General features: G+C 48.1%; 1 protein-coding gene across 1 annotated transcript, besides 8 other annotated features; it reads right to left on the bottom strand.

Moving 5' to 3' along the window:
- Nucleotides 1–945: 945 nt before the first annotated feature.
- SCD (stearoyl-CoA desaturase) lies at nt 946–18,539 on the bottom strand. Its single transcript, NM_005063.5, has 6 exons — nt 18,241–18,539; nt 17,426–17,708; nt 13,276–13,406; nt 11,140–11,345; nt 9,008–9,240; nt 946–5,038 (listed from the first exon to the last, which is right to left on the bottom strand). Exons 1-6 carry the CDS (start codon nt 18,265–18,267, stop codon nt 4,839–4,841), a joined length of 1,080 nt encoding a protein of 359 aa, NP_005054.3. The 5' UTR covers nt 18,268–18,539; the 3' UTR covers nt 946–4,838.
- Nucleotides 10,695–11,195: an enhancer, noted in NCBI's record as "H3K4me1 hESC enhancer chr10:102114334-102114834 (GRCh37/hg19 assembly coordinates)". NCBI's record gives its function as "activates a minimal SCP1, AML or CMV promoter by ChIP-STARR-seq in naive H9 embryonic stem cells {active_cell/tissue: H9 hESC(naive)}" and the evidence as "EXISTENCE:reporter gene assay evidence [ECO:0000049][PMID:30033119]".
- Nucleotides 18,175–18,414: an enhancer, noted in NCBI's record as "active region_3890". NCBI's record gives its function as "activates an Ori minimal core promoter by ATAC-STARR-seq in GM12878 lymphoblastoid cells {active_cell/tissue: GM12878}" and the evidence as "EXISTENCE:reporter gene assay evidence [ECO:0000049][PMID:35858748]".
- Nucleotides 18,513–19,104: an enhancer, noted in NCBI's record as "H3K27ac hESC enhancer chr10:102106425-102107016 (GRCh37/hg19 assembly coordinates)". NCBI's record gives its function as "activates a minimal SCP1, AML or CMV promoter by ChIP-STARR-seq in naive H9 embryonic stem cells {active_cell/tissue: H9 hESC(naive)}" and the evidence as "EXISTENCE:reporter gene assay evidence [ECO:0000049][PMID:30033119]".
- Nucleotides 18,513–19,274: a biological region, named in NCBI's record as "H3K27ac hESC enhancer GRCh37_chr10:102106425-102107016".
- Nucleotides 18,645–18,694: a silencer, noted in NCBI's record as "silent region_2707". NCBI's record gives its function as "represses an Ori minimal core promoter by ATAC-STARR-seq in GM12878 lymphoblastoid cells {active_cell/tissue: GM12878}" and the evidence as "EXISTENCE:reporter gene assay evidence [ECO:0000049][PMID:35858748]".
- Nucleotides 18,795–18,864: an enhancer, noted in NCBI's record as "active region_3889". NCBI's record gives its function as "activates an Ori minimal core promoter by ATAC-STARR-seq in GM12878 lymphoblastoid cells {active_cell/tissue: GM12878}" and the evidence as "EXISTENCE:reporter gene assay evidence [ECO:0000049][PMID:35858748]".
- Nucleotides 18,895–19,274: a silencer, noted in NCBI's record as "silent region_2706". NCBI's record gives its function as "represses an Ori minimal core promoter by ATAC-STARR-seq in GM12878 lymphoblastoid cells {active_cell/tissue: GM12878}" and the evidence as "EXISTENCE:reporter gene assay evidence [ECO:0000049][PMID:35858748]".
- Nucleotides 23,046–23,340: an enhancer, noted in NCBI's record as "tiled region #15237; HepG2 Activating DNase unmatched - State 1:Tss". NCBI's record gives its function as "activates a minimal TATA promoter and a strong SV40 promoter by Sharpr-MPRA in HepG2 cells {active_cell/tissue: HepG2}" and the evidence as "EXISTENCE:reporter gene assay evidence [ECO:0000049][PMID:27701403]".

Below are 25,940 nucleotides of genomic sequence, written 5' to 3'. Positions count from 1 at the left end.
CAGTGAGCTGCAATCACACCACTGCACTCCAGCCTGGGCAACAGAGGAAGACCCGGTTTCAAGAAAAATAATTTTAAAAGTATTAAAAGCTAAAAGGAAAAACCAAAAACCAAAACCGTTTCCACTTTGTGCACCTGTGAGCATGAAGCCCTCTGCTCCAGGAACATACAAGCCGTTCCTTGGATTGGTTTTCCTTTCTTCCTTCTGCTGTGCATATCAGCATTCTCAAGAAGCCATTTTATTCCCTAGAGGTGACTACTTTTCAGAAACAGGAAAAAGCTGGACTGCCCAGCCTGGGTTGCAAGGTAAAGAACTGCTTTTGGCTGGGCGCAGTGGCTCACACCTGTAATCCCAGCACTTTGGGAGGCCGAGGCAGGTGGATCATCTGAGGTCAGGAGTTCGAGACCAGCCTGACCAACATGGTGAAACCCCATCTCTACTAAAAATACATAATTAGCCGGACATGGTGACATGTGCCTGTAATCCCAGCTACTTGGGAGGCTGAGTCAGGAGAATGCTTGAATCCAAGAGGCAGAATTTGCAGTGAGCCCAGATCACACCATTGCACTCCAGCCTGGGCAAGAGCAAAAAACTGCTTTCCCAGGGAGCGCTTCTCCTGCTGGTCTTTTCCTCTCCCAGTGTCTTTATCTTAGGTCTATGTGACCGACCACGTGACACACCCGAGAACCCTGGCACTTCCCCAGGGCCAAGTTGCCAGCTGGTGTTAATGTGTTTGATTTAATGGCAGCAGACTCCTGGCTTCCTGCGTCCCAGAGTTTAACCTAAAGTTACCTTTAGGACAGCAGGGCAGGTTAATGGGGTATGAGTCAACCATTGTAACTTCTACTTCTTTTATACTCTTAAAGGTACAGACATAGATATGAGCCAGAGACAAATCCCAAGACTTTGAATCACAGCCAAAAGAAACTCCCAGACCCAGTGCAATCAGATTCACTTCACTTTTATTATGAACAAACACAATCTCAGATTAGTACAATTAGCTTCAGAGTTGATATTAATAGAAATTATTCCAAAATTATTCTTGTCACAAGTAACTACTATATCCCACATAAAAAGGGAAAAAATCCCACCCAATCACAGAAAAGGCATCCTCTGTATGTTTCCGTGGCAATGCGTTGTTTATGTATTCTCAAATTTTGTCTGGCTAGTTATCCACCGCTTCTCCAATGGATTCATTCAGTTTCTTGGAGAACCATATAGACTAATGACAGCATCTGGGACACACGGACGTATCAAGTTCATGGTGGACATTCCTATTATAAAAAATACTCAGGTCTTGAGAATTCCTGTGCTGAAGGATCCCAAAATGCTTTCTAAAAAGCATTAGTCATGCCTCAAAACTGCCCTTTGAGGTAGGTCAGTATTATTATCCCCATTTTAACAGAAGGAAAACTGAGGCACCTTATAGTTAAGTGACTTGCCCAGGGTCACACAGCAAGTCAGTGGCACAGTGGTTGGAGAGGCCCTGGCCTTAACCACCAGCATAACATGGCCACCTCGCTTTTTTAACCTTTCATGATGACCTATTTGAGCTACACTTACAGAGAATACACCCAAGATACTAGCAAACCAAGGAGAAAATTTTCCATTTTAAATGCTACAACCATCTTTTAACCCAAAAAAAAAAAAAAAACTTATAAATCAAATACATTCAAATTATTTCCACCCTCCATCAAATGTGGGCACTTAAGAAAAGCAGCCCTAACAAAAGTTTCCAGAATGAAGCCCAGAAGGGAATCCTGCAAATCGTGATACTGATAATCCTCCACTCAGGCCCCTTTTTCTACCAGCCACTTCAGTAGGGTCTCAGGTGCAAAGGGATTCTGCAGAGGGAGTGAGGGCAGGCTCATATGCAACACTGTGATTAGAAAAGATGTAAGGCACCTGAGCTAAGTTGTCAGCACACCCCCCAAAGCAAGGACTGTTAGAAATCCGGACTCTTGATCAGATCTGAGTTTATCATTAATGTGTCACTTGAATTGAGCTTTAGAATCTTGAAAATCGTGTTCCTTACTCAGCAGACACACTCCCACCCACACCCACAGCCACACATACATTGGGGCCCTCAGCCTGAGGTGCCATCCAGCCTTATGTAGGGTCATGGTACAGATCAGATCCATGGCACACGATTACAATAGGAAGAAGTGAAAGTTGTTTTTATTGTTTATATATTATCAAGCAGGCATCTGATGACCTGTGGAATTAGAAATACCAGCAGACATTTCCAAGGGGTAGGTGCACAGGTCAACAGAACTAAACTACAGTGATCTTCCCTTAGATCCTTTTCTACTGAGGTGAATAGCTCAAAAGACAAGGATGCCTTTAGTCCAGGCTAACCCCTGTAGCCTCTACGCAATTAACACAGAAGAAAGGCCTTCCTCCCTTCCAGCACTGGGGCTCAACAGTGGACTGAGTGTTTGGTAGTGTACATTTCCAATCTTAATAGAGCAAAGCCAGACTTCTGCTTTGATGACTGAGCTACAGGGACAGGAGTGGTCCAAGGTTCTCAAATTCTGTTTTTGTTTTTTTCCAGACTTCTATACTATTGTCTGCCCTAGGCTGTAGGGAATGCTGGTTAGTTTGCTGAACAGACACTGTGTTCAGCAGGGTTTGTGGTATCTCAAATCCCAGGTCTCAGCCAAAGCTTTGCAGTTCACCCTGACTCCAGGGAACAGGGCCTCCTTTCGAGGTGAGGCACTTGGGTTCTTGCCCTTGCTTCTTCCCAGTGAGAACTGTTTCCTCCTACTTCTACAAGCATTGCACTGCCAGCTGAGAGCACTGACTCAGGCGGGGCACCCTCACCAAGTAAGCAGGGGGCATTCAGCATGCCCTCTGGTTCTGACCCAGAGAGAGGGGACTGAAAATAAACCCTCTTTTGCTCTGTGGCTGGCCCACTGGCTCAACATGAGCGCTTGGCTTGGCTGTGCCTCATGAGAGAGGGAGGGAGAGAGAGGCTTTCTGGGCCAGAGATGTTTCTGGGAGGGTTTGCCAGCCTTGTCTTGAGCCATCAGTGTGGCAGGGGAGCACAGGGGTGTAGGTGGAGACACTGCGGAGGCCACGTGAAAGTGGCAGCTAGCTCTACTTTCAAAAGAGAAGCAGTGGTTCAGTGACCCTGAGCATTCTGTGTGCAGGAGGGAGCTGCCTGGACAGCAAGTCATCACTGCCTCTGAATACACACAAAGGAGGCTGCCTGTCCAGGGAAAGAAGAAAACGTTCAGGGAAGAGAAAGATCTGGTCAAAGAAAAGGGACAGACAGGGTAGAGCCAGGAATCAAGAATCAGGGTAGTGAAGAGATTCCTAACCCTGCCCCCCAGGCAGTTGTATACTTTAGGCTAGATGTTAACAGAGACCCCCTTCTCCTCAAAAAAAAATGAGTGAAGGGGCACAACACTGTGGAGAGAAGCCTTCTAGTTTTTACTCATTTCAAGGAGAAACTGGAACTAATTAATGAATGGACCTAATATCTAGTTTATTTTATTAAGACTCCCAATAACTCACTCAGTAACCTTCTCAAGCCCCTGGCAACGTGTTCTCAGATCCCTTCCTATGTGAAGTTCGCTCTTAGAAGCTGCCTATAGATCCTGTCCCTCAGCCTCTCCATCTCATGTCCAGCAGTGGAGAGGAAATTGGCATCCCAACTAATTCCTCCTCTCCTTCAGAGTTTTTTCCAAACATCCCTCTTTGGAAGGGAAATACTCTAATAGTTTAACGTTCTAAGCAATGTATATATGTATATATATTTTATTTTTGACCCGACTTCACCTCCTTAAATCCTTCCCTTTTTTTGGATGTTTGGAAATGCCACAGCCATCTTATTACTATGAGGGGAAGAACCAATATCCTGAAGATGGCAGAGCAGAAAGAGGAAAGAACTGTAATGAGCAGCTCATGGAATACTCAAAATTCTATGAGCTGCTGTTTTTACCAATTCTGGAAACACCCAACTTCAAGACTTCTTGATATATGAACTAAGAAATCTCCTTGTTATTAAAGAAAAAAAGAAAAGAAAACCCTTCCCCAGCAGAGACCACTTTTACTACAAACTTAAAATGTCTTTTCTTTATCCTCGGCCTCAACTATATGTTGCGGCATTGAATTAGCATTGCCAAACACCGCAGCCACTTTTTACCCCGAGCCAGGAGAGAAAGGAAGCATGCTATGTGGTGGGGCTTGAAGTCCTCATTAGGTAGGCAGCTGTATGTCTGATCATGGCGAGAGGTTCCTCTTGCTTCGCTTCCCTCATCCTTACATTCATACATGCTAACTCTCTCCCCCGACAATTTACCTGCTTTAGAAGCTTTGTGTCAAATGAAGTTGCTTTTCCATTCCATCTAGCAAAAGCCTGGGCTGAAGATAATCAACAGGGGACTACCCAGAAGATTCTGTTTTATCTCTAGCTCAAGCCACCTACTTCAAAGCTCACAACAGCTCAAGGAAAGAGAGTTATCTGGAGCAAAGACCATTCGTTTTAGGCTACAGAAAGGTTGTCTAGGCTTTGGAAGCTGGACACTGAGCAAAGACTGACCAGCTGCTTGCCTGGGAGGCAATAAGGGAAAGGAGGGCGATAGCAATAAAGTGAAAAGGAGGACAATGGGCCTAGAAGAGAGAGAGGATAAGAGAAGAAATAATATCAGCTTAGCATCATAAAGGCAGAGTTGTTGGCTTTCAATACTTTTGAATTTTAAAAGAATACTGTACTGGAATGGGTTAACATCATCATCTTTAGCATCCTGGTAGCATTATTCAGTAGTTAATAAACAGACATTAAAACCTCTGCCTGGCTGGTTTTTGAAAAAGGAACCTGAGGGACCCCAAACTCAGCCACTCTTGTAGTTTCCATCTCCGGTTCTTTTAATCCTGGCCAAGATGGCGGCCTTGGAGACTTTCTTCCGGTCATAGGCCAGACCGAGGGCGGCCATGCAATCAATGAAGAATGTGGTGAAGTTGATGTGCCAGCGGTACTCACTGGCAGAGTAGTCATAGGGAAAGGAGTGGTGGTAGTTGTGGAAGCCCTCACCTGAAACAAAAGCGAGAAGTTATGGAGTGACGGTGCATTGAGGTTTTCTTGATTTGTGCACACCAGTTAGCTAGCAGGGTACCTCACACCTGGGAGAAACTCGCTATTGTTGAATGGATGAATTCAGTCTCTTTTAATATGAACCAAACAGATCCCCTCAGAGGCATCTTTACTTTTATTATTTTACTTTTTTTGTAGAGACGGGGTCTTGCCATGTTGCAAGCAACCCTCCCACGTTGACCACCCAAAGTGCTAGGATTACAGTCATGAGTCACTGCGCCCAGCCAGTCAAAGGCATCTTAAGGAGTGATTGGAGACCCTGGTCACCCGTGGCTGTCTGGGAGCCTTGTGGGAGGAGAACTGACAGTTTCTCAGAGGATAAAATGACTAGAGAGAAGCTCCTACTTTTGGGAATGGGTATCAGGTTGGAAAATTCCAAATTCACTCTTGGCCCTGCCCTCAAGGCTCTGTGTGCATGTGCATGTGCACGTCCTTGCAGAATGAAGCACTCTGGCTATGACTCTTAAAAAAATGAGTAAAGAAGCACACCTTTCCCCACCACACTGGAACCACCTCTAGGGGTGGGAGGTTCCAAAAGAGTGGGCCCTGCAGCCAAAGATCAGAAGAAAGGCCAGCCCAGGGGCTGGAATGTCCTCAGCCACTGCAGTTCCCAGGGGCTGCTCCAACTTTTTTGAGCTTTGACCCTGGTGTGGGGGAGGTGCTGATAAAACAGAAGCTCTCTGAGGAAGAAAAATACCCTGTAACCTCTGAGATTTTGAGGACTCTTGGGATGAACATTTCACTTTGCTGGAGGGAGGAAAACAAACAAATTCTGGATTCACAGCAATTTCTCTAACGTGTAAAGCTTTGGAAACTCGACAGATAGAGAGTTTGCCAACGCTTGGCAGGACTCTTCTTTCTGAACCACAGCCAAAAATAATACTGACCCTAATCAGGCATGGATAAAGAATAGCTACTAAGAGCTAATATTTGGCTCTTTGTAGATAACAGTACCCTCAGACAGACCAGTCATGACATTAATCAGAAGCAAGGCAAGGAAGTCCTGCAAAGTAAATGACATCATCTAGGGCATTTCAAGGTATGTCCTCTCTCTGTGACACCTGATGATCTGCAGTGTGAACTGGGGAGGAGGGGGGTAGAATGCCAGGAATAAAGGTACTGAGGATTATTAATGTCCATTAATGGTTTTGCAGCTGGGCTGTGTGTAAGCACTAGCCAGGCCTTTGGTTACCAGATTTAAAATGGAATCAGATGCACACAGAGACAAGGGAGGAAAAAAAAAGAAGAGGGTCAACGGGTAGAAAGAAGACAGGACTTTGCAACTGGGGCAGCAAGAGACAGCCCAAGAAAGGCTCAAGGGAGAAGGTTAATTTGGCAGAGAAGATGAGCATGTGACAGTGGGGGAGGTAATTCAAGAAACAAAAAGATTAGGGTGGCAGGAAACAGAGCTGGAGGAGAACAAAGGGTGAGGTGATAAGGGAGGAAAGCAGCAGGCAAGGAGGAGTGAATGATAACAACAACAGGTCAGATATTGGCAGCCACTTTGAACTCATGGCCACCCAGAGGCTGGAGGTGGGGAAGGTCATTATAGATCCATTTGCGATACAGGAAACATCTCATGCCAGAAACTCCATTCCTATGATAATCTCAGATTTATACAGTGTATATGATTTATTTTAATCATGGGTTAAAGTAAGAATAGGCACAATGGTAAGAAGGTGCCTGAAAAGAGATATGTGAAAGTTAAAAAGAGAGAAAAAAAATGCTTTTATTTTTATTATATATTTTTGAGATGGAGTCTCTGTCACCCAGGCTGGAGTGCAGTGGCACAATCTCGGCTCATTGCAACCTCTGCCTCCCGGGTTCAAGCGATTCTTCTGCCTCAGCCTCCTGAGTAGCTGGGACTACAGGCACGTGCCACCATGCCTGGCTAAGTTTTTTGTACTTTTTTTTTTTTTTTTTTTTAAGTAGAGACAGAGGTTCACCATATTGGCCTGGCTGATCTCTAACTCCTGACCTCAAGTGAACCACCCACTTTGGCTTCCCAAAGTGCTGGGATTACAGGTGTGAGCCACCACGCCTAGACAAATAAATCTTTTTTTTTTTTTTTTTTTGAGACGGAGTCTCGCTCTGTCGCCCAGGCCGGACTGCGGACTGCAGTGGCGGAATCTCGGCTCACTGCAAGCTCCGCTTCCCGGGTTCACGCCATTCTCCTGCCTCAGCCTCCCAAGTAGCTGGGACTACAGGCGCCCGCCACTGCGCCTGGCTAATTTTTTTGTATTTTTAGTAGAGACGGGGTTTCACCTTGTTAGCCAGGATGGTCTCGATCTCCTGACCTCATGATCCACCCGCCTCGGCCTCCCAAAGTGCTGGGATTACAGGCAATAAATCCTTTTAATAAACATAGTAGGCCAGGCGCAGTGGCTCACGGCTATTATAATTCCAGCACTTTGGGAGGCCAAGGCAGGAAGATCACTTGAGCTCAGGAGTTCGAGACCAGCCTGTGCAACATGGCAAAACCATGTCTCTACAAAAAAATAGAAAAATTAGCCAAGCATGGTGGCATGCACCTGTAATCCCAGTTACTTGGGAGGCTGAACCCCGAGGATCGCTTGAGCCCAGGAGGTCATAGCTGCAGTGAGCTGTGATCACACCACTGCACTGAAACCTGGGCAACAGAGTGAGACTGTCTCAACAACAATTTAAAAGATAATAAAGATGGTTAAGGTTGAGAATATAAAGGAAGATTTTTAAAGAGAAAAAGAAAATGAGTGTTAGGCAATGACCTGCCTAAATGTGTGGAGTAGTGTGGTTGTCTAGATATTATTGAATGACCAATAGCACCAATTACTGGAAAGAAGAGGTCGCCAGATCTATTTAAGGAAAATTCATTCAGGGCCTTGGTGAAAGTCTATATTCAGTTGGAAAGAGGGACAGAGAAAAAAATGTAGATACTTTGGGAGGCTGAGGCAGGAGGATCACTTCAGCCCAGGGTTCAAGACCAGCCTGGGCACCATGGTGAGACCCTGTCTCATTAGAAAAGAAAGGAAAAGAAAAGAAAAGAAAGAAAATGAAAGGAAAGAAAAGAGAAAAGATAAGATCAACATTAGAGAATTGAGCAGGAACTTGTGATCACACTGCTTTATTGGGAGATTCCTGAAGGCATGTTGGGGGAAGGGATGTTCCTAGCCCAGAATAGAAGTAGAAGAGAGAAAAATAGAGGACAAGAGGAGACAAGAGGGTAGGTGGTAGTAAAGGGCCACCAGCAGTTATTTTGATGCCCTTCATAATGGCATCACCAAACAGTAAGGCACGGCACACTCTTAAAGCAAGGCATATCTGAGTAGAGTGGAAAGATAAAAAATACTTTGTGTGCATACTTGAAGTTCATAAAACACCAGGCTTACTGGCCACTCAGATGATCCCATTGTTCTATTTATGCATTCCTTGCCTCAAGCAAGACTGCAGTCCAGCCCAGAGTTGATGAAAGAAAGGAAAACTCTAAGGTGCTCATCATGTATGGCATTTGGTTTTCTTTTTTGTTTGTTTGTTTTGCTTTTTAATAGAAACAGGGTTTCACCGTGTTGGCCAGACTGGTCTCAAACTCCTGACCTCAGGTGACCTGCCCGCCTCAGCCTCCCAAAGTGCTGGGATTACAGGCATGAGCCGCCGGGCCCGGAGCATACATGGCATTTGGAAATTGTTTTAGAACCTGGAATCAAAATCAGTGTTTTTTTGTGTTTTGTTTCTTATCCTTTCATTTTTACATAAAACATGTTGCCTGACTCTCAAAAGCGTTTTCCAGTATACTGCCCCCTAATTTTATAGTGGAAAAACTGAGATACAAAGTAGCCATAAAAAACAGATTTATCTAGTTTTTCTGGCTCCTAGCCTAATCCCCTAATCAGCAGACCACTGGATGTAGTCTTACTTGGACAGCTGACTTACCCACAGCTCCAAGTGAAACCAGGATATTCTCCCGGGGGCTAATGTTCTTGTCATAAGGACGATATCCGAAGAGGTGGGCAGCACTGTTCACCAGCCAGGTGGCATTAAGCACCACAGCATATCGCAAGAAAGTGGCAACGAACACACTGTTTTGAAAAGTTTCACCCCAGAAATACCAGGGCACAAGCGTGGGCAGGATGAAGCACATCATCAGCAAGCCAGGTTTGTAGTACCTACATTGACAGACCAGACACCAGGTCAATGGAGGGGGACTCCACACCTACATGGATCTTCCACACTAATTGGGAGGGGATGGGCTGTCTTTCTTCCATGTTGAATTGCTTGTCTGACTCTAAGTTCATTGTTTTATTTATTTTTGTTTGTTTTTTTTGACAGGGTCTCACTCTGTTGCCAAGGCTGGAGTGCAGTGGCGTGACCTTAGTTCACCACAGCCTTGAACTCCTGGGCCAAGAGATCCTCCCACCCCAGCCTCCTGAGTAGCTGGGACCACAGGCATGAACCATCGTGCCCATTTAGTTTTTAATTTTTTGTAGAGATGAGGTCTCACTATGTTGCCCAGGCTGGTCTCGAATGCCTGAACTTTCCAGCAATCCTCCCGCCTCAGCCTCCCAAAGTGCTGGGATTACGGGCATGAGCCACCATGCCCGGCCATCGCTGACTTTTTACTAGAGCATAATACCACATTGGTAAGATAGGTGAGGTCCAAACTACAAACTAATGAACAGACGTCTCTCCATCCTTGGCTGGTTTTCCCATCTGCCTTTGGGCTCCTTTCTCTTTCTAATCAGCACTCTTTTTCAGTCTGTGTTTAGTGTCATGCCTCCATTTTCTGCTAGCTACTCCCTAATTCTTTGGTCTTCTTTTCCCTCAGAGACCCATTGAGTGTCCTTGATCACCTGCAGCTCTCTGTCCCTCAGGAAGCCCTTTCTCAGTCTTCATTCTCAATGTAGACCAGGCCATTGACATTCCAAGGGCACTGATTCCCTACATTCCTTCAGCAGTCAAGTCTTTGACTTTTACATCACTGACATTCCCTGCACCCAACTCTTTTCTCCATTTCTGCCACTGCTTCGCTAGCAGGGGTCCTCATTACCTAACTTATGTCCCTACCTCTCACTTTGGCTCAGTGGTTTCTTACACTTGTTCTAAAAGCAGCCTTCCTAAAGCACGTCCGTAACTATGCCACATTGCAGTTCAAAAGATGTAATGGCTTCCTATTGCTTATTGAATTAAGTCCTAAGTCTGCTTTTAGGACTCGACAAGAATGGCATTAGTCTCTCCAGTCTTACTTCTTCCCATACCCTATACTTCAAGCAAAAGGACTCTATTGCTGGAACATGCTTCGTGTTTTAGCTCATTCTGTTTCTTCTGTTTGCACTGTCTCTCCCCACACATAGTTGTAAAAATTTCTATCCGTTGGTGGATTCCAACACTATTTATTTCATATCACTTCCTTGGTGTTGCCCATTGAGCAATCTCCCTCCCCTTTGTACCTCTCATAGTACAGAAAATATTCTGCCTTATGCCATGGTTATCTGGATACTTGGCTTATCTCTCCACCCCGATAGGCTACAAACTTTTTGAAGGTAAGAACTAAGCTACCGGCCTGGGCAATATAGTGAGTGAGACCTTGTCCCCACAAAAAATTAGCCAGGCATGGCGGTGTGTGCCTGTAGTCCCAGATACTCAGGAGGTTGAGGTAGAAGGATTGCTTGAGCCTGGGAAGTCAAGGCTGCAGTGAGCCATGATTGTGCCACTGCACTCCAGCCTGGGCAAGAGAGAAAGACTGTTGAAACACAAACACAAAAACAAACAAACAAACCTAGGCAACTAGGCTATAATCATCTTTGAATCTATGACTGTCCTAGGACAATAAACATCTCTTGAATGTAATGGGTTTAATTAAGATAGTCAGAGAGAAAGAAATGGAGCAATAGTCTATGGCTACGGGCCCGTGGGATGTTAAAAATTGGGATTTTAAATTAAGATTGTGAACATGCAAACCCAGCAAATTTCTCAGCTTATATTTTGAAAGTCTCAGGAGAAAAAATGGGGTCCCTAATGACCAGGTGCCAGGGCCATATCCCCACCTCCATCAGGGCTTCACTCACCTCCTCTGGAACATCACCAGTTTCTCAGCTTCTAGGTCAGACAAGTCTAGCGTACTCCCCTTCTCTTTGACAGCTGGGTGTTTGCGCACAAGCAGCCAACCCACGTGAGAGAAGAAAAAGCCACGTCGGGAATTATGAGGATCAGCATGTGTTTCTGAAAACTTGTGGTGGGCACGGTGGTCACGAGCCCATTCATAGACATCATTCTGGGGAGAGAGAGAAGAGGAATGTAAGGCTTGAGGATAGACACCCTATTAGGAGAATCCCAATGGACAGGTATCAAGAGCCCAAGGCGCTCAGCCCAACCTCACAAAATACCCAGGAATCTGGGCTCCAAAGGAGTCATGGAGTTGCCTCCCTTCTTCTCCCAACTTGCCACTGAAGCTTAAGTAGAAAAAAGCAACTTAAAGTCCCAGGACCATAGCAATAGAACTGCTGTTTCTTGAAAGTTATATGGTGGGTGGAACGGAGGTAAATCATACAGAGCTCAGAGAGTTTCAAGAAGTGAGAACATTGCAATTCTTTAAGCAAGGAATGTTGGAAAAGATCCTCATGGGGTACCTAATCCCTAGGCATGGGGAACATGAGGCAGGCAGCCTTGTGTCCTAGGGTCTCAATCAGTAGATAAGCTGCAGCTGCAGGGTGCACCATTCTGGTGCCTTGCAAAAGAGCTCATACAACCCAATAACAAGGCCAGGCATGCAACTCGTGATCATGACTGCATTTTCAAACGACCTCTGGGCTTCTTCATGACTTTTTCCATCCCTTAAAGAATGTACCAATATCTCTCTTCCTTCCTTTTGCTCCACAGGACAACTTTGGAAGCCTTCAAGGTATAAGCTGCTATGGCAGAGATGATCATGCAAATGTGGCAAGTTCTTGGGATATTGCCACCACTAAGTTGGTTTCCTTTCTTCCTCTTGCTCCAAGCTAAGCCAAACGCCACATGCTATCATTTGCCCATTGCTACAGCTTAATGACTATGATGCATTCCCTTTCCCCATTTCCCTTCATTCTGTCTTTGCTATAAACTTTTTTTTTTTTTTTTTTGAGATGGAGTCTTGCTGTTGCCCAGGCTGGAGTGCAGTGGCGCGATCTCAGCTCACTGCAAGCTCTGCCTCCCAGGTTCACACCATTCTCCTGCCTCAGCCTCCCACGTAGCTGGGACTACAGGTGCCCGCCACCACGCCTGGCTAATTTTTTGTATTTTTAGTAGAGACAGAGTTTCACTGTGTTAGCCAGGATGATCTTGATCTCCTGACCTTGTGATCTGCCCACCTCGGCCTCCCAAAGTTCTGAGATTACAGGCGTGAGCCACCGTGCCCAGGTTTGTTTTTTGCCTTAACAAACCTCAATGTTTTACTTAGCCACCATGGCAGCCCAAGAAAGGGCCACAATGTTGGGCTGGTCTATCTAATCTCTCTGTAACTTGGTTTCCTCATCTGTAAAATGGGGATAATAGTACCTATTTCCTAAGATTTTTGTGAGGACTTTATATCAAATGCTTAGAATAGTGCCAGGCTCATAGTCAGTGCAATAAAAGTGTTTGCTCTCATTATCTCAAAATAAGAGTTCACGAGTCTGGGAACATCAACTTCAATCCCACTGTGGTGGAGTCCTAAGTTATTCACTTTTGAAATTTTTTTTTTAAAGTTGGGGTCTTGTCACCCAGGCTGGAGTGCAGTGGTGATATCATGGCTCACTGCAGCTTCAAACTCCTGGGCTCCAGTGATCCTCCCAGCTCTGCCTCCCTAAGATATTTACCTTAAATAGTGAATTTATTGTCCAGTGTCTGCCCAGGAATCTAAGGTCAGTCTCTGGCTTATGTGCCAAAGCCCCTTATGATGAAGAGCCACAACGGCCAGATTGTGTGACAACACAGGGACCTTAGGATCAAAAATATTCCTACACATCAGGAGTATTTTCCAATTATCTTCCAGTTCCCTTTTCCAAGACTCAGAAGTCTCTTCATGCTTTATGGACTTAAGGACTGAACTGGAACTTGAGGTGACTACAGGAGAGAGGAAAGTGAAATGGCTGTCAGGTGTGGCTCCTCTCTGGTGCTGATCCCTCCTTTCTGTCCCCGGATCATTAATAGTGTGGAGGACAAACAGCTGAGCAGAGACAACTTCTTACCTGGAATGCCATTGTGTTGGCAATGATCAGAAAGAGCCGTAGGGGCAGCCGAGCTTTGTAAGAGCGGTGGCTCCACAGACGATGAGCTCCTGCTGTTATGCCCAGGGCACTGACAAAATAGTAGAATACCCCTGCCAGGAGAAGACAGTGGGGGAGTCACCAATCAGTGTGAGTTCCATCTGGGAAAGGATGCCAGAGACACTCTCTGGATGCTAGAAACTGTCTTCGTCAGGCTTTGGGTGAGAACTGGCTTTACCATGAACTCTAGGGATAACCACATCCCTTAGATTTTACCACTTGAAAAATATCACCCCCCAACCTCTCAACCCAGGAAAAAAAGATAAGCTAAAGAATCCCAGGAACTAAGGAGTCAGAAAGGCAGGAGAGAGAATAGTGCTCTTACCACTCATTCTTCATCTTAAAGGCATTCTCCCAGGGCCTAGCTATCTCCTTTCACCTCTATCTAGGCCTTCTCTAAGGTTTTAAGGGCCACAAACTACTCCTGCAGAGCTCAGAACCCATAAGCCAGGGTGTTATTAAAATAACAGCAGAGGGCCAGGTGTAGTATGAACCACTTTGTCATCCCAGCATTTTGGGAGGCCAAGGCAGGAAGATCCCCTTGAGCCCAGGAGTTCAAGACCAGCTGGGATAACATAGGGAGACCTTGCCTCTACAGATAATTTTAAAAATTAGCTTGGCATGGTGGCACCTGCCTGTGGTCTCAGCTACTCAAGAGGTTGAGGTGGGAGGATCTCTTGAGCTCAGGAGGTCGAGGCTGCGGTGAGCCAAGATCGCGCCACTGCACTCAAGCCTTATCAACACAGCAAGACCTTATCTCAAAAAATAAAATAACAGCCAGTACAATCTGGGCACTGACCAATTTGAGAAGCCCTTAGTTGTAGGGGACTCTTAGGGCATTCAGACTATGGCCATTTATCAACTGGTACAAAAAAGCATTTAAATATTCAAGCAGTCAGTGTGGCCAAATCAGGGAAAAATTAGCCCTGTGCATAAATCCAATTTGTACAGTGTCTTAAGCTTTACCAAAGATTTCACGTTCCAGCTATACCATCCACCTCCCCCAAGATACATGCACAACTCCTCTGTCTCGCCTTTGCCACATCCCTGTCAGCCCATACTCTCACCGGGCAACGCTCTCTAGACAATGGTGGGATATTCTTCAAGCTGTCAGTGAAGCACCCCACCATTGTCTTCCCTCACCTTCCTGGAGGCCTGCAGGCTCAGGAGGTGCCAGATATAATCTCTAACTGGGAAGTGGGCTGCTGGGCGTCCCCATATCTTCCTCTGTTCAGTAGCTCTAGCAGGCAGAAGCTGTGGCCTTGATAGAAACTCTTAACAATGTTTCATTCCTAGGGAAACAGCTAGAAACAATAGATCCTCAGTGGCCACAGAACTTAGTTGCAGTTGGAGACACCACACATTGTAACAAATTGTCCTGTGTTCTTTTGCAGCCATTGATAGCTGTTTCCTAAACAACCTCCTTTTCCCCCCAACCCTACCTCCTTTCTTCTCTTCTATTCCTCCTATAAGATCTCCAGGAGAGCCACAGAGCCAGTCAGCCCCAACAAGAGCTCTCTCCACATTCCCTCAGAGTGGGGACTGAGGCCCCAGGTGATCTGCCCTCAAGCCAAGTGGTGACTGACATCTCCCCAGATACAGTATCTACCTGCATCTTACTCGGGAAACCATCAGTTGAGCCAGAGCTCTCTCTAATGAGCAAGGGAGCTTCTAGGGTTGTTATTTGCTGCAAGACCCTAGGGCAGTGTTGACTCAGAACGTATATAAGATCCTATATTAACAGGGAAATTGGGGAAAGAACTCAGGCACTCTGGTGCCTTTTCTAGAAACACCTCTAAGCCTATCAAATAGAAGGGCTTAAATCAGTTGGAGATTTATTCCTTCTCTCCTCCCCAGGGGAGGAAAATGTCCAGATTGATGGTTAAGCAACATCTCATTGCTCTGGCCTTAAGAAAGAGACTTGAATGGTTTTGCCTCTGGCTCTCAGTGTTGCCAGAGGCATTCTCCTAAGGGCTTCTTTGGGAGACTCCAAAATGAAAGAGATTTAAGGCTCTCAAAAGTGCTCAGTCATAAGAAATGCTGGAATCACGACCAGTTGCTAATTTAACATTGTCCATAGGGATTAAAACAAGAAAGGTGAAGCTCCTAAATTCTGAAGGTGGGAAGAGAAGATGTCCAAGTTGAGACCTCTGACCCTCCTCCCCTCACCCTCCTTGTTTCTCAAGACAGAGGAGTTCTGATATCCCCACATCGACATGGTCATTCTTTCAGCTAAGCCATCCACCAAAGGGCCCAGTAAAATAAGTTACCATCTAGTCTCTGTGAGCCACATTTATCTGCCCAAGGGCACAGCACACACCCATGGGCAGGTCACCAAAAAAATGTAGCAGGCACAGCCTTCACTTTGGGATGGAATTCTGCTCCTTGCAGTAGCAACTGAGGATAACCAAGCAGAGGCAATCGGGTCAAACTCTGGGCTTCAGGAAACCTACAGGGGGTGCTGAGGCTGGAAGGAGCTTGCAGGAGAGAAAACTACTTGTGAAGACTATCCTCTTGGGGAGAAAGGGTGGAGAGAGGCATCCACAGACTGCCTGGGGAATGCTATCCCTGCTCCTCATCCCTCAGCTGCAACTGAAGTTCTGCTGGATCCTCAGAGGGGCTAGACAACAGATGTCGCCCTCCCCTCACAAATACAAGAGCTCTTCCTGGTATGCAGATGAACTGATCTGCACCTGGCCTGTTCTGTCTCTGCGGCTGTGACACATATGTAACCCAAGGAATGCTACCTTCCCCATCCTAAAAAAGTACTGTTGCCCACAGGTGGTACCTAGAAAAACTGAGATCCTGACAAAGGGGCTCTTCTCAGTTGCATTTCACTGTAGCACCTGGAGGATTTCTGGAAACAAAAGCTCAATGAACCAGATCTCACCATCTTCAGAAGACCTAAGAGGTCCTGAGGGAAACAGCTAAAACTTGGCCTACCAGCCCTTCTGCATAACTACCCTTCAAGAGCGAGCTGTCAGAAAGTTTCCCACACCAGAAGTCCTGGCTCACCACCCCTTAGAGAGTAGCAGTGCAGGGCCCCTGGATCTGCAGAGCTCCCTGCTTTCCCTTCCCAACTTAGGCTCATAGTGACAGAGGTGAAAAAGCCTGCAAAGCGCATGTGTGTATCCAGGGGGCAGGGCCATGCCATCAGGCCACACCAACAGGTCCCTGAAAGAGCTGAGCTAAGGGCAGGTCGGGGACAAACTGGGAACTGTCTCCCTCATTACAGCAGCCTCAAGACCGGGCTCTCTTTTCTGGCCTGGCCTCGATGTCCCTGGCAAGGAGGGATGGGTAGGACTGGTGTTGGAAGGTGCAGAATTCTTGGCACTTCATGGCATCAGTAGGGGGGCCTGAAGCAGGCTGGACGGGGGATGGAACATGAAACATATCTTCAGCCTGATTTCATTCTAAGAGCATTTTGTTGACTGGTATGTGCAGCACCCTGGAATGTAGAGTAACAGAGCAACACACACCTGTGTGACTTGGGTTGCACGGGAGCTTCATCTTCCTCTGTAACGAAGAAGCCTGGTCTGGCCAAGGGGTCAGGTCAAAATAGTTTTGTGGATAACAACCTCTCTTTTCCTCTCTTTCCAATGAGCTCTCTCCTCCCTTTCCAATAAACTCTCTCCCTGAGTAGTTTCCCTTGTGCTAGCCTATGATTGCTCAACACAAACCCTAGAAAGCCAATGGTTTAGTACCATGTTCCCATGCCTCCCAGGTAGAGGGGTTTGATTCTTTTGTGGCTGGCAGGGGTGGGACAGGCAGCCAAGCAAATGACTCAAACAGAAAAGCTCTTTCAGGGAAAGCTGACTCTCCAGCACAGCACACTTCAAAGCCCACAAGCACAAGGTTCCAAAGCTCTCAACCCCCAGCATTGACAGTCCTGCATCTCAGTACCCCCAGGTTCTTCCCAGCCCACTAGGCCTGAAGCAACCAAAGAGAAATGCCTGAGAAAAACCCCAACCGGGAGGCTGGGAGGGGCTGGTGTCCTCTGTAAGATCCTACCTTATTAAAAGAGCAGTGAGTACCTGGAGGACTAGGTCAGGAGGACAGGGAGGCTGCTTACCCCAAAGCCAGGTGTAGAACTTGCAGGTAGGAATCAAAGTGATCCCATACAGGGCTCCCAAGTGTAGCAGAGACATAAGGATGATGTTTCTCCAGACATATTCAACCTTGGGGCTTGGGCCTTCCTTATCCTTGTAGGTGGGGTCATATATATCATCTTTTATATCAGGGCGAATGTCGTCTTCCAAGTAGAGGGGCATCGTCTCCAACTTATCTCCTCCATTCTGCAGGACCCTGGAGGGAGGCGCTGTAATGGTGGTGGTGGTGGTATAGGAGCTAGAGATCTGGAAGGGGGAGGAAGAGGAGAGTCAGGAGAAGAGACACGTGGAGGCAGCTGGGGCCACTCCGCTCTCTAATCACGCTGGGGGAAGGGTGGACAGTACGGACCCTTCCGCAGCGCCGTAGTTCACTGAGGGTAGGGTGTATCCGAGACGCAACGGAGAAAAGTTCCCTGAAACTGTACAGATACATTAGGGGCGGAGGGCGAGGGGGACGAGGGGCGCGAAACCTATCGGGAGGCGGCAGTAGGAAGGAGAAGTAAAGCACTCACATCCCCACGAAGACAAAGGAAAACCCGCATAATTCATAAAAGCACCAGCACGACCGGATTTTTCTTTAAAGCTTAAGAAACTAAAGTTGGAGACTCAAGTCCCCAAATTACAATCCACATTCCCAACTCACGGAAGGCAGCACAACTCGAAAAAGATGACCAAGTCCTCCGCGGAGCTCTCCCCTCTCTTCTGCCACCAACCCGTCCCCTGGAAGCCCAGCCCGCGCCTGCGACCCGGCGGTACGGGGCCAGGCTGGGAAACTCACATCGTCCTGCAGCAAGTGGGCCGGCATCTTGGCTCTCGGATGCCGGGATCACTTTCCAGGGGGCTGAGGCTCCGGAGCGGAGTTCGGGGTCGCCGGAGGACTGCGGTTTCGAAGCCCGCCGGTACGCGCTGAGCCGCGGCGCCTTGCACGCTAGCTGGTTGTCGGCGCTAGCCGCGGTGCGTGGAGGTCCCCGAGCCGGGAATTTAAAGGCTAGAGCTGGCAACGGGTGACCGTGTCCGGTATTTCCTCAGCCCCCTTTTATCCGCTGCCAAGCAGGGGCAAAGTGCGAGGAGTTGACTGGCGCGGGCGGTCCCGCGTGGAGGTAAGGGCGGGAGGGGGAGGAGACAGAGGCCGAGGCTCGCGGCGACCGCAGCAGGGCGCCGGGGATGCTGCCGACACCGACACCACACCACCCGGCCTCTGCCCCTGCCCCTGCCTCTGGGGAAATGCTAATGAGGCTTCTGTAAACTCCGGCTCGTCATTGGCCGAAGGGAATTTGGTGCCACCTCGTCCTGCCGTTGCCATTGGCTCGGCGCAATCTGCTGTTCCCTCTGCCGCCAGCTCCTCGCTCCCCCTCCCCTCTGTTTCTCCTTCTCAGCTTCTCTTCCACCCGCCGCTGGGCCTCTGCCCGGCATCCCGCGTCGGGAGCTTTCTCTCTGGAAGGGGCTGGGGACCCGGTTTGGGGCTGGGGCGCGGAGCCTAGCCCAGGACCGGCCCTCGGGCACACGGAGAACGGGTGGGTGGGCACTGGGGAAGTTTCTCAGGAAACAGTGGTGAACCCTCGGGGGGCGCCCACCACTAACATCTCCGTCCCGTCTTCCGTCCCCCCAGGCGCGTGGCAGGGAGACGTGGCAGCCACCCCAGGATCTGGAGCTTGGGGGACGCGGGAAGCCCCGCCTCCCTCCCGGGCGAGCGCGGGGGACTCGGTACGCCTGCGAACAATGGCTCTGCCCCGCCCACCAGCCACGCGCTGCTCACCCGGGACCGCACCGGACTCCGGCCGCACACACAGGCTGGCTGGTGTGTGTGTGCCTGCGCGCACGCATCCTGTTCAGGACCCGGGCGGGCAGTCCCATCCCCAAGCCCGCGCCTCCAGGATGCGTGCGGGATGTTTTGGAGATTCTTCAGACTGGCAGGTTGTAATTTTGGAATCTTCTTTGTGGAAACCGTCAGGAAACACTGACATGTGTTTTCACCCAGCAGCAGGCGAAAGGGCTTGGATGTGGAATAAGAATAGCTGGCAGGTATTGAATTATTACTGCAAGCCAATTCACAAGAATCGTTTTCTGTAAGCCTCTCTGTGACCCTGGGAGGTGGGTACCCCATTATTCCATTTTAAAAGTGAGGAAAGAGATATGGAGAGATGGAATAACTTGCCCATGGTCACAGCAACCAGTAAGTGATGGAGCTGGCAGTTGAGCCCAGAAACACCATATGAGAGCCCAAGCTCTTAATCCCTGCTCAGGACCATATTGCCCTCGGTCCCTGAGATGCTCTGACCCTACTGATCTGTCCCTGTGCCCCCATCTTTTCCGTGTCTGTAGGAGCCTTACCATGAGAGCTCAGAACCAGGCAGGCTATGCATTCACCCGGTGTCCTTCCATGCCCATGTCTTTCCCAAATACTGCCCTAGGATCCTTCCCCTGGGAAGAGGAGAAAATACGGAGTGCTGCGCCAATGATTCACTTCCCAGGAAGACAAGCACCTGGGATTTCCTGGGAGGTAGACTAAGCAGCTCCTTTGTTGGCCACTGGTCTCAGGGTCAGGCCAACTCTCTGGCCAGTGACCAGGAGACTGCATTCCAGTCCTGGCTCCCTGTCCGGTGTGAAAGTTCTGAACAAGACTGGATGATTTCAGATGTGGACAGCTCATCCAGTCATGCCTCAGAAGTACTTGGCATGTGGCACAGAAATCTGTACGTGGTCTGACCCCCTTCAGGTTCTCTCTGCAATGTCTAATTTGCTTAATTCTTTTGTTTTTTGTTTTTTTGAGAGGAAGTCTCGCTCTCTCCCCCAGGCTGGAGTGCAGTGGTGTGATCTCGCTTCACTGCAACCTCTGCCTCCCGGGTTCAAGAAATTCTCCTGCCTCACCCTCCCAAGTAGCTGGGATTACAGGCATGCGCCACCACACTTAGCTAATTTTTTGTATTTTTAGTAGAGACGGGGTTTCACCATGTTGGCCAGGCTGGTTTTGAACTCCTGACCTCAGGTGATCCACATGCCTTGGCCTCCCAAAGTGCTGGGATTACAGGCATGAGCCACCACGCCTGGCCCGGAGAATATTTTCATTCTATTTCTCTTTCGAGCAGAGATCACCTCTACTCCTGAGGCCCTGGTCACACTGTGGTTCTCAAGTGACAGTGGTCAAACCAACACACTGATTTGGATTCTAAGATTTATTTTTTTTGGTCTGGGGGCCCTACCTCAGCAAAAGGAACAATAGTTACAACAATTATGACAGCAAAAAGTTTGAGACCAGCTTGGCCAACAAAGTGAAATCCCATCTCTACTAAAAATACAAAAATCAGCTGGGCATGGTGGGAAGTGCCTGTAGTCCCAGCTACTTGGGAGGCTGAAGCAGGAGAATTGCTTGAACCCGGGAGGCGAAAGTTGCAGTGAGCTGAGATCACACCACTGCCCTCCAGCCAGGGTGAAAGAGCAAGACTCTTTCTCAAAAAAAAAAAAAAAATTGTGATTTTTTATTATTTTGTTTACAGCCAAGCTCCTTAATTTTGGTATTCAAAGTGCTTCATGATTTTACTCTGAACGCCCTATTCCAGCCTTAATTCTCACTTCTCACTTAGTATAACTTGTATCTTCATCAAACTGCACATTTGTCAACAGAATATAAAATAAAACTCCGAAAAACCCCTGCACTCTTGCTGATTTCTAAACATGCTTCATTTTCCCAAGTTTTTCTTCCCCTGAACTCTGCCTGTCAAAATATTACCCGGGATCCAGCAATTCCACTCCTAGATATAAACCCAACAGAAATGAAAACATATGCCCACACAAATGTATACATGAATATTCACTGGAGTATTATTCATAATGGTCAAAAAGTGGAAACAACCTAAATGTCTGTCAACTGACTAATGAACAGATAAGATGAGCACTTTGGGAAGTGGAGGTGGGGGGATCATGGCAACATAGTGAGACCTTGTCTCAACAATAAAAATACAGCCTGAGCAACATAGCAAGACCTCCTCTATACCAAAAATCATTTTTTAAAACTTAGCTGGGCCTGGTGGCACAAGCCTGTAGTCCCAGCTACTCAGGATGCTGAGGCCAGCGGATTGCTTGAGCCCAGGAGGGGAGGCTGCAGTGAGCTATTATTACGCCACTGTACTCCAGCCTGGGCAACAGAGTGATACCCTGTTTCAAGAAAAAAAATATCAGCCAGGCATGGTGACACGTGTTTGTAGTCCCAGCTACTTGGGAGGCTGAGGCAGGAGGATCACTTGAGCCCAGGAAGTCAAGGCTGCTCAGCTGTCACCATGCCACTGCCCTCCAGCCTGGGTAACAAAGTGAGACCCTATCTCAAAACAACAACAACAAAAAAGAAAGAAAATGAATACATAAAATGAAAATTAAAAAAAAAAATTAGCCAGGTATGGCTGTGTGTGCCTGTAGTCCTAGCTACTCTGGAGGCTGAGGTAGTAGGATCACTTGAGCCCAGGAGTTTGAGGTTACAGTGAGCTATGATTGTGCCACTGCACTCCAGCCTGGGTGACAGAGTGAGAACCTGTCTCTAATAATATGATATGGGATACCCACACAGTGGAATACCATTTGAGAATAAAAAAGAATGAAGTACTGCTAAGTACTGTAACATAATGAGCCTTAAAAATAGAATGCTAAGTGAAAGCAGCCAGTCACAAAGTCTCACATGTTGTTTGCTTCCATTTATATGAAATGTCCAGAATTGGCAAATTTATAGAGACAGAAAGTAGATTGGTGGTTGCCCAGGGCTTGGAAGGAGGATGGAGGATGTTGGGGGGTGATGGCTAAGGAATGCAGGGTTTATTTTTGGAGTAATAAAACTGTTCTAAAATGGATTGTGATGGATGCACAACCTGTGAATATACTAAAAGCCATTAAATTGTATGATTTAAATGGATGAATTCTATGGTATATAAATTATATCTCAATAAGAAAAGTATAAAAAAAAAAAAAAACTAAAGACTGGGCATGGTGGCTCACGCTTGTAATGCTAGCACTTTTGGGAGGCCGAGGCGGGTAGATCGCCTGCGGTCAGGAGTTCCAGATCAGCCTGGGCAACATGGTGAAACCCCGTCTCTACTAAAAATACAAAAAATTAGCCCAGGGTGGTGGCGGGCACCTATAATCCTAGCTGCTTGGGAGGCTGAGGCAGGCTGAGGCAGGACAATCGCTTGAACCTGGGGGGTGGGGGTGGAGTCTTGCTCTGTTGCCCAAGCTGGAGTGCAGTGGCACGATCTCAGCTCACTGCAACCTCCACCTCTGGGGTTCAAGCAATTCTCCTACCTCAAGCTCCCAAGGAGCTGGGATTACAGGCGTGCACCACCACACCCGGCTAATTTTTGTATTTTTAGTAGAGATGAGATTTTGCCATGTTGGCCAGGCTGGTCTCAAACTCCTGACCTCAAGTGATCCACCTGCCTTGTCCTCCGAAAGTGCTGTGATTACAGGCGTCAGCCACTGTATCTTTATAACTCTAGATGATTGAGCTATAGGCTCCAGAGGAAAGGTACACTCCAGACCAGCTCCAGAGAACGAGAGAAGACTTCCCGGAGGAGACGGTGCTAAATCCGAAGGGACCATTAAGGGTGAGTGTGGAGAAGGGCAGTTGGCAAGTTCAGAGACCTAGAGGAGGAAAAGACTGACCTGATATACTATGAACGAGGACCCTTGAATATGGCTCCTCCTGGGCCCCAGGCTGGATAGATGGTGTAGCACGTCTTTCCCCGGTAGAGAAGAGGCCAGTGCACTAGCCCCACACCTCCCTCTGTTGGCAGACATCTGTCTCTCCACACTATCCACAGAGCCATGATCTTCCTCTCACTCCAGCCCTTTCTGTGTGTGCTCACACACGGGAATGTCTGCACACACAGGTATGCATACTGGCGGACGGGCCTCCACCAACTTATTGTTACCTATCCCTGGGGCCCTGGGGTACGTCCTCAGATCAGATAGTGCGTGTGACTGGAAGCAGTTTATGTCTCAGGGCAGAATGTGTGAGATGGGTACTGACAGTCCCAGCAGATGAGGCCTGGGGACAAATGTCTTAGGACCAGGACCAGGGCCAGAGATTTCTGCAGTGGTCTGACCTTACAAAGATGCCTTTTCCCAGGCCACAGACTACTCCCTCCCTCCTCTGGAGGCCCATAGGGGATCTTTCCCCAGCCTGGAAGGCTACCCCATTCTGAGCAAGCCATCTAGGATGAACACATGGAGAGGAAAAGCAAACACAGGCCTAGGGCCTCCAACAACAAATAAACAAGCTGAAGGGAAAGTCTCTCTTGCCCTGACTCAGCTTCTGAGCCAAAGTAAAGAGAGAAGAGCAGCTTGCCCCCGCGTTTTTTCTTTCTTTCTTTCTTTTTTTTCTTTTTGAGACGGAGTCTTGCTCTGTTGTCAGGTTGGAGTGCAGTGGTACAGTCTTGGCTCACTGCAACTTCTGCCTCCCAGAATCAAGCAATTCTCCTGCCTCAGCCTCCCAAGTAGCTGGGATTACAGGTGCATGCCACCCCTCCTGGCTAACTTTTGTATTTTTAGTAGAGATGGGGTTTCACCATACTGGCCAGGCCAGTCTCGAACTCCTGACCTCGTGATCTACCCGCCTCAGCCCCCCAAAGTGTTGGGATTACAGGCATGAGCCACCGTGCCCGGCTCCTGTGTTGCCTTCCTGGTCGTAGAGAGGTAAATCCCCATTTGCTTCCTGCAGTTGCTAAGAGTGCTCCCAGGAAGGTCACACTCTCTTCCAGAGTTCTGAACCCATGCCTCTCTCCCTGCTGTAGGTGAAAGGAACAGGCAGGCCCTGGCCATTCCTGGCCCTTCACCCCTTTTGCTTCTCTCCTCCCAACTGCCCCTCCCAAGCTGCTGCTTCCCCTACAAGGGAACTGTTTCCTGAGTCCTTCTAGCCTCGTGCCCCAGCCAGCCATCTCTCTCCTGGCCTTCCCTTTGCCTGACAGTAACCTCTCCCACAGCTGATGTCACCCTGGCTTTGCACTGACACAGCAGCTGAGCTGGGCACAGCAGGGCTGCGAGGTCCAGAGGGCAGCTGGCTATGTCTGAGGCCAAGCTTCCCTCAGTGCTCGCCCAGGGCTTTTCCTCAGCCAAGAGCCTGCTTCTCTCCCATTCTGTGCCTCTAAGCCAACGTAGCCACATGGGGATAGAGTGTTGACTGAGCCTCCCCTGTGCCCAGCGGAAAGTCAATTCTCTGCTGTGTGGGGGAGAATGGAGCCAAAGTTCTGCTCCCACCCCTGGGGAGCTCACAGATTTCTAAGAGAAACAGGACAAAGCACAATAGCAAACTGGGCAGGCTAGCATCTGATGAAGGCAGAGTGTAAACATACTATATTAAACAGGGTCGGAGTTCAGGGAAGAGAGAGGGGCGCCCTTCCTAAGAGGTGCCCCTAGAATCGGGTAGGGGAAGAGAATGGGCTGGTGACAGAGTCATTTAGTGTTTTTTTAAAATTTATTTTTATTTATTTAAGCATCTATTTATGTGCACTGTGCTAGGTGCTTTGATAATCTACTAATATTTACCCACATATTTACCTGTATTTTGCAAGGCTCAGAAAAGTTGTACCAGCCTGGGAGCACTGAGGTGGGGGATGTGATGGGGATTTGTCTGTACCTAACATCTGCTAGGTGCGTACTAGGTACTTCATATGTTTTGTCTAGTAACTCATTCTTTCCAGCCACAGAACAAACATGCTGAGCAGAAAGTCAGAAGGACACTTGCTGGGCGCTGCTTCTCCCCTGCCCTGCCACCACTCACCACTTCCCCCGTGATCACATTCCCTGCTGCATAAACCCTAGTACCTAGGAGGCCTGGCCTCTGGGCAAGTTACATTCTGGAAGGCTCCCCAGGTCGGCTAAAAGCTTGATCTTTCTACTCCAGCCCCCAACTCCACCTTTCTTCCCCATCTCTCCCTACCCAAGAGAGAAAGGGAAAATCCCATGCTAGCCCTCAGCTTTACCTTCAGCATCTAAGGTGTAAATTAATGTAATCAAGGTGAATTTCCATGCTGTTATTCTGCTCCTCCCACACCCGGGGTTGGCTGGATTCCCTTTTAAAGGCCAGAGTTATTCCCTTCTCATGTCCTAAGGGACTCTGGATTTGCAATGTCATCTGGCCCAGATACGTTCTTGCAGAATATTTGGTGTCCCCATGTCCTCCTTTCAGGCAGCAGCCCAGAAAGCCAACTACCTTTATCCCATCCTTCCTAAGCCTGCAGTTGAGGACCAGCCAGGGAGATGGAGGAGCGAAGCCTGGAGCCCCAGGCACTGCAGGCCCCTCAGCCCTACCTCAGTTCCTGCAGCCTCAACAGCACTGAGAACCCCAAAGGGGGCTGTGGACCCTGTTGTTCCCAAGAACACGCCAAGAACCCATCATTCTTTCCCTCTAACATTCACTTTACCAAACCTCTGCTTTCCCCAGCCAAGTGTCAATGTCTTTTTTCTGATCCCCAAGAGCTGCTTGGCTCTCTGAGCCAC

This window comes from Homo sapiens, chromosome 10 (assembly GCF_000001405.40).
Source record: "Homo sapiens chromosome 10, GRCh38.p14 Primary Assembly".
NCBI classification, from domain to species: Eukaryota; Metazoa; Chordata; class Mammalia; order Primates; family Hominidae; genus Homo; species Homo sapiens.
This window is presented reverse-complemented; position numbering and strand designations above follow the sequence as displayed.

Coding starts and splice junctions, on each gene's coding strand:
- SCD (NM_005063.5), bottom strand. CDS start 18,267: ATGCCGGCCCACTTGCTGCAGGACGAT. Junction 17,709..18,240: donor CCCACTTGCTGCAGGACGAT/GTGAGTTTCCCA, acceptor TCCCCCTTCCAG/ATCTCTAGCTCCTATACCAC. Junction 9,241..11,139: donor CTGGTGATGTTCCAGAGGAG/GTGAGTGAAGCC, acceptor CTGTCAATGTAG/GTACTACAAACCTGGCTTGC.